The sequence below is a fragment of the Homo sapiens genome, chromosome 16 (assembly GCF_000001405.40).
Source record: "Homo sapiens chromosome 16, GRCh38.p14 Primary Assembly".
NCBI classification, from domain to species: Eukaryota; Metazoa; Chordata; class Mammalia; order Primates; family Hominidae; genus Homo; species Homo sapiens.
Window position 1 is genome coordinate 79,516,653 of NC_000016.10, and position 14,954 is coordinate 79,531,606.

The 14,954-nt window shown below is 42.8% G+C and overlaps 1 protein-coding gene across 5 annotated transcripts in view, besides 1 other annotated feature; it reads right to left on the reverse strand.

The window, feature by feature from the left end:
• Window positions 1-14,954, reverse strand: part of MAF (MAF bZIP transcription factor) — a 398,116-nt gene that overhangs the window by 314,031 nt on the left and 69,131 nt on the right. The gene's annotated exons all lie outside the window — the stretch shown is intronic.
• Window positions 11,162-11,263: a silencer, noted in NCBI's record as "fragment chr16:79561711-79561812 (GRCh37/hg19 assembly coordinates)". NCBI's record gives its function as "represses an EF-1alpha promoter that drives an FKBP-Casp9 reporter gene in an ReSE screen in phorbol 12-myristate 13-acetate-treated (for megakaryocytic differentiation) K562 erythroleukemia cells {active_cell/tissue: K562(+PMA)}" and the evidence as "EXISTENCE:reporter gene assay evidence [ECO:0000049][PMID:32094911]".

Consider the following 14,954-nt stretch of genomic DNA (forward strand, 5'->3'; position numbering starts at 1 on the left):
AATGTGTCTCTGAAGATGGCAATTTTATTATTACCATTTGGTAAATGAGAAAAGTGATTCAAGCCCTGGGCTCATTTTCCAAGATCTTCTCCACTATCTGGTGTTTCCCAGACTGTGTACCCTGGAGCTCTAGAGGTTCCATGGAATCTACTAAAGAACAAGGAAAGACAGAGCTAACGTCTCAGGGCCAAGTTCTTTTCTTAATCTTAAAGCAGCTAGACCTTCAACTACATTGTTGTTGCTTTTTCATACGATTTCTTTAAACAAAATTTTGCATGGCTAGGAAAAGGTTGAGAACCTCTGAACCAGAGGCTTTCTAAGGCAGTTTCCACACTGAATCTTCTAGGATCTGTGAATGGAACCCCAAGTTTTTTTATTTTTTTTTTCTCCAGGACCATAGCACACTGCTCTTTTGTCTTGGCTGTCTGTTTTAGCTATCTGGCATCAGCTGGTACCAGCCAGGTGTTTATCTTTTAGTTTATACTGTAGATTCTATCACCACTGAGGTCTGAGTTCTAATCTTCATTCCTTGGCTCTGAGCCTACCTGGGCCTGATTTCCTCTGTTAGAGGAAAAAGCCCAAAGACCAACCATTCCCACCTGGCTTCAGCCTAGCAGCACCAGAGAGTACTGATGTGGGAAACATGTGGAGACAAACGATTGCCTAATAATAAGACAGACAGACATGCCGATGGCTTGCTCACACACTTTGTCATTGTGCTGTTTCACTTAATTACATAATTTATTTTCTTAACTTGGGCTGCTTACCCAGAGTAACCTGGCAGCAAACATATTCTCAATAATTTAAACAACAAATAAAGTTCAAATAAGTGATCATTCCAGTCTTTCAAATCCAGTTAACCCTCAAGTCTTGGAGCTCCTTTCCCAGAGTGAGGTTTTGAGTGGACTGTTTAGTCTTTTTTTTTTTTTTTTTTTTTTTTGAGATGGAGTCTCGCTCTATTACCCAGACTGGAGTGCGATGGCAGGATCTTGGCTCACTGCAATCTCTGCCTCCTGGGTTCCAGTGATTCTCCTGCCTCAGCCTTCCAAGTCACAGGGATTACAGGCACCCGCCATCATGCCCGGCTAATTTTTGTATTTTTAGTAGAGACAGGGTTTCACCATGTTGGCCAGGCTGGTCTCAAACTTCTGACCTCAAGTGTTCCACCCGCCTCGGCCTCCCAAAGTGCTGGAATTACAGGCATGAGCCACCGCTTTTGGCTTAGTCAGCCTTTAACTACAAAGTTGGAGCTCTGAAAACATACCCACAATAGTGGACCAAGGGCAGGGTCTTTTTGCCAAGACCTACAGCTCTGCTTCTTTTGTCTGGAAACTCAACAGTAGTTGCTTTTCCTCGTTGTGCTACTAGTTAATCATATATATGAAAATGGATTAGCACTCACTTGATGCCGGGCATCCTATTAACCTTTGTAGACATTAGTTTATTACATTCTCTCAACCGTGCTATGACACAGCCCACAGTATCTCCCATTTGGCAGGTGAAGAAGTAGAGATTTTGAGAGGATAAATCATTTGCCCAATGTCACATTGCTAGAAAGTGGGGGACCTGAGGTTTCACCCAAGGAACATGAACCTAGAACCTGTGCCAGTGCATGATACTGGCAAAGACATCTTGCCTGCTCCTTGGGAAGCCATTCGATGGCTTGCCTGGGAATTTTGGTGTCCTTCTCTGGGCATCTCAACAGTGAGCTCCCTGGCTGGCTGGAGAAGTCATTAACAACACAAGCTCTGAATCTAGACAGATACATCTTGTAGAACTCTCATGGGGAATCCTGAAAACCACTGGTAGATCTTCTCACTCAACAGGCTACGTGGAGGAGGAGTAGGGAAACACAGGCTCTGCAGTCAGCTGCTTTGGATGTGATCCTAGCACCAACTGTGACCAGCTATCTGACTTTGGGAAAGTTACTTGGCCCCTTGGTGCCTCAGTTTCCACATCTGTGAAATGCTGATAACACTTTACATAGTAAAGTTATCGTGAGGATAAAGTTAATATATGTAAAACATTGAAAACAGTGCCTGGCATATAATAAGTGCTTTATACCTCAGGTCGGAAGTTCAAGACCTCATGGAGAAACCCCATCTCTACTAAAAATACAAAAATTAGCCAGGCTTGGTGGCGCATGCCCATAATCCCAGCCACTCGGGAGGCTGAGGCAGGAGAATTGCTTGAACCCAGGAGGCGGAGGTTGCCATGAGCCAAGATCATGCCACTGCAGTCCAGTCTGGGTGACAAGAGTGAAACTCTGTCTCAAAAAATAAATAAATAAGTAAATAAGCTTTATAAATCTTAGCTAGCATTATTAACTCTATTACTTACACAAGAACTATAAGCTCCTAGGAATGGAAGAGCCATGCATCTATCACATGTCTTAGTGTAATAATAATATTACTAATGCCTTGCAATTATATTTCACTTTCCAAAGTTCCTCCTGCCTATTATCTTGGTTGATCCTCACAACATCACTGTGGCAGAGATCCTCTCCTTTGTACATGGAGAACCACAGAGGTTCACTGACTTGTCCAAGCCCCCAAACCTGGAGCTGTTACTCTGAGCTCGGGATACCCAGAAACAGCCATGTGACCACCTCAGAGATCTCTGAAGATAATGGAACCCCATGAGATGGGGTATAATGCATTCCAGCTGTGAAGAAAGGCATGCTATGCAATTGCAACTCCCAGAGGTTAGGTCAGCTCTGCCCATGATGGAGAGAACATCTACGGTCTGCCTCTTGCTTTGTCTAAATAGAATGCTACGGGGAGTCTCTAACCCAGAACACGTTTCCAGGGAGAGCTGCTGCCAGGAGCCCTTAGTTTCCACCTTCAAGCACGAAGCAGCATGTTCTGGCCTCCCTTACCACTCTCTGTCCCTCCCTTTCTGCTGCAGTACAAAACCCAGTTCCTTATCGCTTGTCATCGGTAACCATCCACTGGCCCTTGGAGACCAGAAGGGACTGTAGCCCGGGTGGCCTGGCAGGAGTCCAAGCCAGGCGACACTGCTCTCGTATACCCAAGTATCCTGCCTGTGGTTTTCACTGCTGTAATTGTACTGGTTTGCACTTCCTGTCCTAACTCATGGGCCGGTGTGACGCTGAGCGTCCTCTGAACCCTGTGTTCACAGCGCAGGTAGCCAGCTGTGGTCCTGTGATCTGTCACCATGTGGGGAAAAAAGGTAGAGTCCTGGACCCTGTTGACTGCTCGCCCATCCTGCCTTGGCCCTCCTGGCACGGCCATGTGTCCTCCATCCGGGACAGCGCATGTTTGTCAATGCAAGACCTTCTCCCTCTGGAAGGGAACTCTGTCTGTGCAGGTGGAGTTGGGCAGGAGGGGATGCTGGAACTGCATTGAGTAAATACCCCAAGCGTGTGCTGACACACGTTGGGTCAAAAGGTTCGCATAGGTATTGCAAAGACTAGGGCCTCTTCTGAGTTCTGAATATGAATGGCTCAACCATTCAGCAGGCGCCTGCTAACTCTGCTTCTGACATCCCCTCTTGCCAGCTGCTCATGTCTTCCAATGCCAGCTCTTCTTAGCAGCTGGGGCCATCTTATATAATTCAGATCAACTGGCACTCCTGGTTCGAGCCCTTCTATCCTTCCATGAAGTAAAATGGTGAAGTTCTCACCGTTGCCTAAGAGACCCTTCAGTGTCTGGCCCTGCTTCCCTACCACGTACATTTCCCATCTCCTCTGCAGCCATATGACCTCCTTCTCATCACCAGGAGCTGGCCCCATGGCACACAAAGGGCTCTCGTGGTCCTAACCTCATTCCCCACACCCTAGCCTCTCTTCTCTATCTCTCTGTGTGTGTGTGCGTGTGTGTGTGTGTGCTTGCATGCGTCCCCCAGGGTTCTGAAATCTGGATAAGTAGTACATAAATAAATATGGCTTCTCTTATTTACTGTCTAGTTGGTGCCCCTACCACAAAATGGTGGCCAACTTGAAAGCAAATGCTGTTCTGGCAGTGCTAGAGAGACAGAGAGAAAAAAAGCACTGGCTTTGGGGCAAATCAGATCTGGTTTCTGTCCCAACCCTGTGCTTGGGTGGTCTTGGGCCACATTAGTCTACCTGCTAGAGTGTATTTCTGCACCTGAAAGCAAGAGCAGGACACCCAGGGCACCCAACTGCTGGGAAGGTTGTTATTGCTCCTGATGAACATTGGCATTGGCAAGGGAAGGGTATTCACCATGTGCCTGGGACCCTGCTAAGTGCTTCATTTGCTTACCCTACTTCCGTCCTACAACACCCCTAGAAAGAAGGAGTTACCATCACCATATTTTAGATGAATAAACTGAGGCTCAGAGAGTTCAAGTAACTTACCCAAGATCATTCTGTTAGTAATGCTGGAGCCTGGCTATATTAGAATTTCTTTTCCTAACCACTGTATCATACATTCCTGGAGAATTCAATAAAATAATGAAGTAAAGCAAGAATGCATCGAAAGCGCTTAGACGTTGTTGAGGAGGGCAAGGAGCACAGGCAGTTAAAGTGAACATCTTATGCTCAAGTGACTGGGAATTCTAAACCCAAGCTCCACAGTACATACTTTCCCTATTTACTTTTCGTTAATAGAATCGCAACATATCATTGGATCTTAATGGCACCCCAAGGGGGTTAATTATATGATGGGGAATTGTCCTCAGTTTCAACCACTGTTGGTTTAATGGATGTTCCTTCAGAAAAAAGAAATATAGCACATTGATCTTTAAAAAGGAAAAATAAAGATCTCTCAAATGCAGATGAGGAAAGGGAAAAGTTCGCACTCAGCATTCAGCCCACCATTAATCCTCAGGACGCATTTCGTACAGGATCTCTGGGTTCTTCCTGTGGTGGACTTCGGAATTCTAAGGCTGAAGGCTTGCAGCCAGCAGTTTCCCCATCTCCCTGAACAAGACCCTCCTTCTTCTACATAGTCAACATCTCTTAGAAGAAAAAATTCTCTCACCCTCTGCAAACTCACCACCAACAAAGTCCACGCATCACGCAGCCACATCTTTCCAGTGCAAGAACCTCCCACTTGCTTTTGTCTCCGAGACTCAGTTTTCCCATCTATAAAATGGGGTAATACCACTGATTTCAATAGGACAGCTCATTTCAAACAGTTACTGAATAAATTATAATGCGTGCTTTCTATGTGAAAAAGACACCATACTAAGCACTCTAATAAATATATTTCTATCTCACAATCCTATGTAATAAATATTAGAATCATCATCTTAATTTTCCAGAAACAATGCTGGGCTCTGGGGAAATAAAGATAAATAATATGTAGTCCCTGCCTCCAAGGAGATCGACTTCTCATTGAAGAAACAGCCAGGAAAATGGCAATTGCAAGAAAATGGAGTCACTGTGAAGAAAGAGGTGTCAGCTCAGAGTGTAGCAAGCACACAGGCGGAGAATCTGAGGTGTGTAGGGGGATAGAGACAGCATCCTGGGGTGGACAGAGAAACCATGAGATTCAGAGGGGTTGAGCATCTTGCTCAAGAACACACAGCTACTTAGAAGGAGAGCCTGGGTTGAGATCAAGGGAACTTCAGCCCAGACTCTCCACTGTTCCAGTGCTGTTTGATCTCCATTGAGCTCTCAGCTCCCCTGGGATAGAAGCCACATTTCTCTTTTTACATGAGTCTTCCTGCCTATGCAAGGCAGTTCCTCAGTGACTCCATGACACAGATGAGAAACCAGCCTGCAAATGGTGGCCTGTACCTTCCCCACGCCCCACCACCCCCAACAGAGCTGCTAAAGGAGTTGTGTTTGCAGAGTCCTCACCACTTGTGTGCACAAGTTGAAGGAATAACTATCAACTCAAAAATACAGCTGATCAGTTCAATAGACATAGGGTGACTATCCTGTAGCCGGCACAGGGTAAGCATGTCAACAGCCTTCCTAATTTTGCCCCTGCTCTTTGGGAGTTTACACTCAAGCCAGGGAGACAAATGCATGCACAGTTCATGCATCCAAAGGCAAAGCAACCTGAATGTTGCATGCAGGGTCCCAGTAAAGTGCTCTGGGAGTACAGAGAAGCCCATGATTAAATAAAAGAGGCTTCCTGGATTGAGATCAATCCAACGATGGCTTGCTTGCTGGGGCTTTGGGCAAAAGTCATCTAATATCACGAATGTTTTAAGGATTAAACATTTAATGGATTAAGGCTGTAAATGCTCGGAGCTCCTTGGAGAAACTTGTTTCATGAACACCATGCAGTTGGAGAACTCACAGTGCTGGCATATCCCTGAGAACATCATGCTTAGATTTCAAATTCCAGAGAAGAGACATGATGTCTTTCCACCTCAAAATCTTACCCCGCACAGGGAGAAAGGCAGAATGACGGAAAGACAATTTTGAGGATTTACTTCATGATAATAGCATAAGAGTCATCATAAAAATTTTACCCTCTAGGTATTTCTCTCCTGGCATCTAATGGTTTTTCCATCTTGAGCTTTTTCTGATCCGTTGGTCAATACTGTTTGATAGCAGATATTGTTATGATATGAGAACATAAGAATTTCCATGTGGCAAAACCAAAGGGGCATCTGTTTGACTCATCTTCTAGCCATGATTGTTCTAACAGGAATTCTCTACCATAGCAAAGGAGGGCATATCCTTCTGTAACTAATTCTCTAGGGTGAACAGAATGGATTCTTCTCCCACTGAAGGGAGGGAGACTACAGAGGACTTTTCTGTGTACTAGACCAGACTTCAGTATAGGAAATGAGGTTATGTTGAAGCTCTAGAAGTCTTAAAATAACTTTCACACATGTTACTTATTTCTATTTTCATAACAATCTATAAGCGTGGGTTCATTCATTTGTTCACTCATTCTAAAATATTTACTGCTGAACACCAACTGCAGCCAGACACTTTGCTGAGTGATACAACTGGACAGGTAAATGAGAGATGCTGGCTGCCTCAAGAGTTTAGTGAAGAAGACAGATGAGTACACGAAGAATTGCAAGGCGAGATAAGCTGATTCTGGAGACAGTGGTCACAAAGGTGCTCAGTAGTGACCTTAACAAATGTTAGAAGCTCCATTTTACAGAAGGGGAAGCTGAGATGCAGAGATTAAATAACTCGTGCAATGCCATATACATCCTTCAAGTGCTAAGTCCTAAAATCATGCGCATCGTTATCCAGCAAAGCCTATGGATAGATTCAGTTCCACAGAAATGAATTCATTAGGTCAATAACAGCCTCAATTAGATGATCATTCTTTCAATGTAGAGGGAATCTGCAAAGTTTATTGTGGCTTATTTCTTTTCTTCCCCACTATCTTGGAATAATATAGTTGTCATGATCCTGTGATCATCGGCATGAAATTACCCCAAGCCATCCAGTATAAATAGACACACACACCTCTCCCGGAGATATCTGGGTTTCCCCAGATACTCAAGCTTACTCAGGCCCTGGGGGATTTGAGGAGCTTTTGAAGGGACTCACTGGCATCCAACTGCGCCCATCAGCATCCCTGGTTGCTTTTCCTCTTTGATAAACCCTCTGATCCCTGTTCGGGTCAGTTTCAACGGGAGAGCAGGAGGCCTGGAAAGAGATCTAAACGACTTAACCCTTCCGCAGGGGGAGTTAATTTGCTGCATTAGCCGGGGGCTATGCAATACCTTCTTGCTCAGATTGCCTGCTCCACTGTGACCCATCTCTCTTAAGGATAACGCCTTCCTCTGGGACTGGACTTTGAGGCTGGGTTTTGTAGATGGGGATTTATTTGCAACTGGCAAATGAAACTTATCTAACCATTAGCCTGTTGCAATTATTCCTGTCTGGTCAGCCAAATGGGAGCTCGGCATGAGATCCCAAAGGTTAAAGTTGGCTATCCAACATTCATCAGCAATTTTGAGGTTTCTAGGAACAGCAGCAGAACAAGAGTGTTTTACCCTTCATAGGTTCCTCCATCATTGCACTTGGTTGCATTATACATTTTTTAGTTTGAGTGTGTGTTTCTTATTTTGTTTTGTTTAGAATTCTGGTTTTCCTCGACAGCTACTTCTTTGGAGAAACACATTATTTTTCACTGGCCAAATATAGAAATCATTCTGTTATCATCTAGCAATAAAATATGTCATTACTTTCTTTCCCCAAAATTCTTTATCCCATTGGATATGGGAATTAGATAAGATTAAGTACTTAGGCAACATCAACTTATGGGGCAGACAGATTCTGTGCTGTTCAACTGTGTCAGGACAACATTTATATCTGCTTAAATAGGAGACAATGTGGCCAACACGCACACAGATACAGCCACGTGAGGTTTGCTTTAAGTAGAGCAGCATTAGGTTACTTTAAGGTGACAATTTCTAAATGAGTGCAAAACTGTGTAATAAGATTTAAAAAATTGGACCCATTCTTAGTCCACCAGCTCCCCAGCCAGTGACAAAATATGCCATTAGTGGCCACAGCACGATTCTGAAAATATACCTTCCTTACGATTTAACGCTTTTTTTTTCCCTGTGAGCTAAAAATTACAAAGCCCCGGATTTCATCGCTCTTGCAATCTATTCTTTTCCCCTGACTTCCTGTTTTCATGAAATTTTAATCAGGCACTTAAAATAAATAGCTATGCACAGCTTCTCTGCCTCCCCCAATGCCTGGGATGGATGTTTTGGGTAAAGTGATAGTCCAGAGACCTTGAGAACAGTGAATTCCTTTCTGACTTGGCAAGACAACAGAAATTAAAGCACGGCTCTGTCCACGGCCATGCGCTCGGAGGGGACAGAGTGGTCTTGTTTCTAGAGGATCAAACAAAGACATAGTATGTTGAACTTTTTTTCTAATTCTTCTTCCAAATATTGACAGCAATTTGATCAATTTAGAAGGGCAAGCAAAATAAAGCACATCTACATTATTCTAGGAGAGAGAGGAAAAAGAGTAAGCCATGTTAAACCCTTAAGATCCCCTTCAAGTGGAAAAATTAATCCTTTAATGTACGCTGCGTACTTTTTATTGCTAATGGTTTTTAATGATGTACATTTGAATCCCCTTCATTTAAACAAAAACACACCTGGTGTTTAAAGCCTGCTAAGATTTTTTTTCTACATTTTTCATGTAATGATTATATCTACAAATGGCATTCTAGGAAAATTTAACGTATTTCTCACAAAATCATTATATTAAGAGGAAGATGTCCTTTCTAGTAGTAACTTCAGGTTTCATGAAGAGTGCAATGTACCAAGAAAGAGGCAAGAATTCGCGAGAAAGAATACAGTTACTAACATCCCTGCTCTATAAGTCAAAGCCCTAGAGGCCTTAAGAGAAGATTCTTGGAGACGTGAGGACATCAGCTTCCTTACCTTAACCAGCCAACCTTCTGTATGACAGACAGTAAGTGGCAGGAAAGGCTCTTAATTTACGAGTAAGAATAAGGTGAAATGATATGAATTAACATCATTCAGTTCCCATGGACCCCCATGAATCTTCCTGCCTCTTGTTTCAAATGTGAAGAGATTCACACCAACTGTCGGTTCTGAGAAATGGCGTTAGACCAGCAGTCCCCAATCTTTTTGGCACCAGGAGCCGGTTTTGTGGAAGACAATTTTTCCATGGATGGGTGTTGAGGGGAGGATTTCAGGATGAAACTATTCCACCTCAGATTATCAGGCATTAGTTAGATTCTCATAAGGAGACCACAACCTAGATTCCTCACATGCACAGCTCATAATAGGGTTCGTGCACCTATGAGAATCTGATGCTGCTGCTGATTTGACGGGAGGCAGAGCTCTGGCGGTAATGGGAGTGATGGGGAGTGGCTGTATATACACGTGAAGCTTTGCTGCTGCTTACTTCCTGCTGTGCAGCCCGGTTCCTTAAAGGTCAGTGGCTGGGGGTTAGGGACCACTTCCCTAGACAATATGCATAGACATGTCTCCCTGACTCTGGAAGTCTAGCACCTGGTTTTAACTATCAGGAGATAGGTCTTACAGGTTAGCGGTATGCTGGTAAATGTTTTACAACAGGCTTTCCGGGGCAAAAAACAAAACAAAACAACAACAACAAAAAACAAAACAAAACACTGTGGTAAGGGGTAACCCTGATCCGTAGCATTTGTTCATTTCTGTGGTGAAAATACTCCCACCATGGACAATTTCAAGCTACTTTTGAAGTCACCAAACGTGGAGTTAGGAAGAGATAAATGGGATACATTCAATATTACGATACATGCAAATAATAAGATATAGATAATAGTAGAAGGTAGTAAAATAACTGTCTTCTACTTTTATAAATAAAAATAGAAAGGGGGAATTTTATTTTCAAATAGAATTGATTTGATTGTAAAGTTATATAATTTAATTTTTAATAATGGCTGTTTTTAAGAATGACTCATAGAATTTCTGAAAATTTGACAGGGGCCTCTTGGGAGCTGCTACAAACTAACTCCAACACACCAGTGCTGTGGGGGAACCTGGCTTTACAGCTCCATTCACTTGGATATAGCTGTGTGTCATTTGTGGTTTAGTGAACTTGCCTATTTCCAGGGACAGACCACATTTTTGGATCTGTACTAGATTGGTCTTCGTCCCCTAAAGTTTCCCCCAAATTACAATTGACCACAAAATATCAGTGCTGCCTGTTTTCTTTGATATAGGGTTTCATCTCCTTCATTGTCTCCAAATATAGCTCTAAGCTTGCCTTCTTACCTTGCTTAAGTGAATCTAAATAACCTCAAAAAGAAAGCAATCAACTCCCCAAGTGACAAAAATCATTCAGCTTCCTGGCATCTCAAGTCAGAAGAGCTAGAAAATACTATTTTTCTTCCTGTGGGCCCAGAGGATAAATTCCCACTAGAGAAAAGAAAGAGACTAAATTTCTACCACATTCCTTTTCTTATGCCAACATTTGGTGACATTACAAAATGGGAGATCTGGGGGCCTTCCATTCCACCACCACCTTACAATCATTAAAACCACTTCTTAGGGAAGTCCCATCACCTTACAATCATTAAGGTGATGATACAATCATTAAGGGGGGGGTCCCATCACCTTACAATCATAAAACCACTTCTTAGTGAAGCTTGTGAGGGTGTGGGGTGGTGATGTGTAGGAAGTTCACTTCAGTTTGAAGAAGTGAATATTGTCAGGAAATCTGGAAGAGCTACTGAGAAAGTTCTTTTCATAAGATGGTACCAGCAACATGTTGGTTCAAGAAAAACAGACAAGAGGATGATGGTTTTAAAGCATGGAGTGGCTTGGCATGGTGGCTCACACCTGTAATCCCACCACTTTGGGAGGCCGGGGTGGGTGGATCACTTGAGGCCAGGAGTTTAAGACCAGCCTGGCCAACATGGCAAAACCCCATCTCTACTAAAAATGCAAAAAATTAGCCGGGCGTGTTGGTGCGCACCTGTAATCCCAGCTACTCAGGAGGCTGAGCAGGAGAATCACTTGAACCTGGGAGGTGGAGGTTGCAGTGAGCCTAGATTATGCCATTGCATGCCAGCCTGGGCAACAGAGCGTGACTCTGTCTCAAAAAGAAGCATGGAGTGAATTTAAGGATTCAGTTCAAGTTGCCAGGGATCTCATATTCCAAGAGCTTCTTCTGCCCTCTTTAGTTTCTTGGCCATGTCTAACTCCAAGGTGCCTGCAGCCCTTTGTCCCCTCTCATGGCAGTCCCAGTAGCAATGGTATGATGTTCTAGAATCACATTCATGAAGAAAAAGGCCGAGCTCATGTGGCTGGATGCATCTAGCTTCTGTGAACCACCCACACTATCAACAGACACTGTCCCAGGGGCCAGGAAATCATCCTGCTCTTGGCAAAACCCCTGCCACTTGGGTAGGAACTGAGCAGAATCATCCAAGCCAAGAAAAACTGAGCAAGGCATGGCTCTCTCTTTACTGAAATCCAGATTCAGCATGAAGGATCTTGGCAGAACGACAGCTAGGCTCAGCCCTGGTGAATGTCACAACCATATCTCAAATAACCCATTCTCTTAATAAAACACAGTTTGACTTAAGGCTTTGAGAGATATCAATTCGAAGGGAGAAAAAAAAAAAAAGAAAGGCAAGAGAGAAGCCAGTGGAAAGCTTCTTACTATATTAGGGCTATTATTGAATGCATTTGCTTATATATGCACTTCTCACAGAGTAATCCAAAACCCTGAAAATGAAATTGGCTGTCTTTGGCTTCTTTATTTACAATCACTAACTACTCAGAGATTCTCAGAAATGTGGAGATTTCTTGGAGCTGGCTACCTGCAGTAATGTGCCTTCCCTTTCGTCCCATCTAGGCAGTTGATGACCCGGTGCAAGATTTCCCTACATTTGCATATTTATAGGGTCTCCTCCAGCTCCACACTGTTCTTTGTAAGAACAGAGCTTGGTGCCAGCAAAAGGAGCTCGAGCTGTCAGGAGCTTCTACTTTTGTTCTTATCTGTAGTCTAAGTAAGTCAACCCAAGCTTTTCTCCCACCTGAACATAAAACTACTGCAGGACTGATTGCTAGCTACATCAGTGGCCTCCTGAAGCAGATTGGGATGTGGGAAATTACACACTGGAACTCATGGTCCCAGAAGAGTTTCCAAACTCCAGCTGGTCTCTCACTCATCAGTTACACCTTCCCATGCGCCAAAAACCAGGGGAGGGAGATTATACTTTGGAGTCAGATGGATCCAGTTTGACCCCAGTCTCTACCCCTCTCTAGCTGGAAGTTGGCAAACTATGTAGCTATTCAGAGTTTCAGTACCTTGTGTATTAATAAACAAGCAAACAAACAGAAAAATTAAAGGAACACATCCGCCATAGAGAAAGTTGGGTGAAGCATATTCTGAAATCTACATACTATTTTAGTAACTTCCTGTGAATCTATAATTATTTCAAAATATTTTTAATAGGGGCACTAATAATAACAACAACAATGCCAATCTTAATAATATCTCAGAGGGTGTTTTGGAAGAGTTAAAAGGAACAATTTATGGATACGTGTCAGCAGGTGTTTGACATTCAATAAATGTCTGAATTCATAGTTGGAAGTATGGATACAAAGCATGCAATAAATATTATTTTAGGCTGGGCGCGGTGGCTCACGCCTGTAATCCCAGTACTTTGGGAGGCCGAGGCGAGTGGATTACTTCAGGTCAGGAGCTCAAAACCAGCCTGGCCAATGTGGTGAAACCCCATCTCTACTAAAAATACAAAAATTAGCCAGATGTGGTGGTGCACACCTGTAATCCCAGCTACTCAGAAGGCTGAGGCAGGAGAATCGCTTGAACCTGGGAGGCGGAGGTTGCAGTGATCCGAGACTACACTACTGTGCTCCAGCCTGGGCAACAAGAGTGAAACTCCATCTCAAAAAAAAAAAAAATGTTATTTTAACTTAATTTTCAATAGAGGATGATGCAAGGTTTGTTTATCAAGTGTCAGGAGAGTAATTTTTCTATCAAAGAGACAGAACAAATATAAGATCTCCCCATTAGCCCCAAGTGAGGGCCAAACAAGTGAATTAGTATTACTACGTATTTTTGGAGTGTACAACCTTGAAGATATCCCATAACAATTTATTTTAAGGTCCTGTTTATCTTTACATTTCTTCTAGCTTGAGAACACACCTGAAGATTCCCATTTCTTAGGGAAACCATGACACAACAGACTACTGGGTTTTCCGTGGTCTCAGGAGTGGTTCAAATGGGCTGGGGGGTGGACCTACATCCATAGTCATGCATTCAGCTGTCCCAACACATCAGGGTCCCAAAGTGCCTACTTCAAATTCAGAGCACCCTGATAGACTGAAGGAAAGAGATGTAAATATTGGGAAGCAGTTTTACTCCATTTTTTTCTCAGGGGAAAAAAATTTTATTTTTGTTTTTGGAAAATGTATGTGGAACACACTAAATAAAAAATCAGCATAAAATATTTAAGGACATTATTCATTTTAAGTGTGTTTCCAGGCATTTACATAAATAGGAATGAATATATATATTTGTGCCTCAAAACAAAGATACAACATAAACACCAAAATGTTAAGAAGAGTTTATCTAATTATTGAAAGTATGACTGAGTGCTTATTATTTTTATCATCATGTTTTTTGAATATTGTGAACTTTCTCTAATGGATTGTTTTTATAATAATAAAATTAACGATCAATTGTGGTTTATTGTATCCTTTCAAAATCAGTCATAGATATCTCTTTGCTTAATTGTTATCCTGGAGATAGTAAAACGGCAGGTCTATGGGTGGAAGGAATGGAAATGATTACTTGTGAGCCACTTCTCTGTAGCCAGAAAGGACTCTTGAGCCAGCCAGATCCTGTGTCTTTTAGGGAGATGGCCCTGGGTGGGGAGAGGCCCAAAGGGAAGGAAACCAGGAGACTTGCCCTAGACTTGCCTGCCAGTAAGTTTCTGGGTAATGTCGCCATTCCCCAAGCTCTAATTTCCTAAATATCCGGCCTTATCAGCTATTTGAAAGGTCAATGGTGTTAAAGTATGTACTCTTAACTTTCTAGATGAAAATCAGGGACTAACATGAGACATTTTAATTCTGTTGCTAGAGCTTGTATAAGCATACCCTTGCCTAGGTGGTTCAAAGGGGTAAAGTCCAGGTCTTCCTAACTTCATAGGATTAAATAAAAGAAAGGCAGTGGAGTTAAGATGAGATAACCTCTATCCTCTGCATCTCATCTCTCTAAAAATCTGGGAATCTTTAAGTTCTCTAGAGCAGCACTCCCCATCCTTTCTAACACCAGGGACTAGTTTCATAAAAGACAATTTTTCCATGGACTGGGAGTGGGGTGGGGATGTTTTCCAGATGATTCAAACACATTACATTATTGTGCATTTTATTATTATTAAATTATAATATATAATGAATTAATTATACAACTCACCATAATGTAGAAACAGTGGGAGAGCTAAGCTTGTTTTCTTGCCACCAGATGGTCCCATCTGGGGTTGATGGGAGACTGTGACAGATCATCAGGCATTAGATTCTCATAAGGA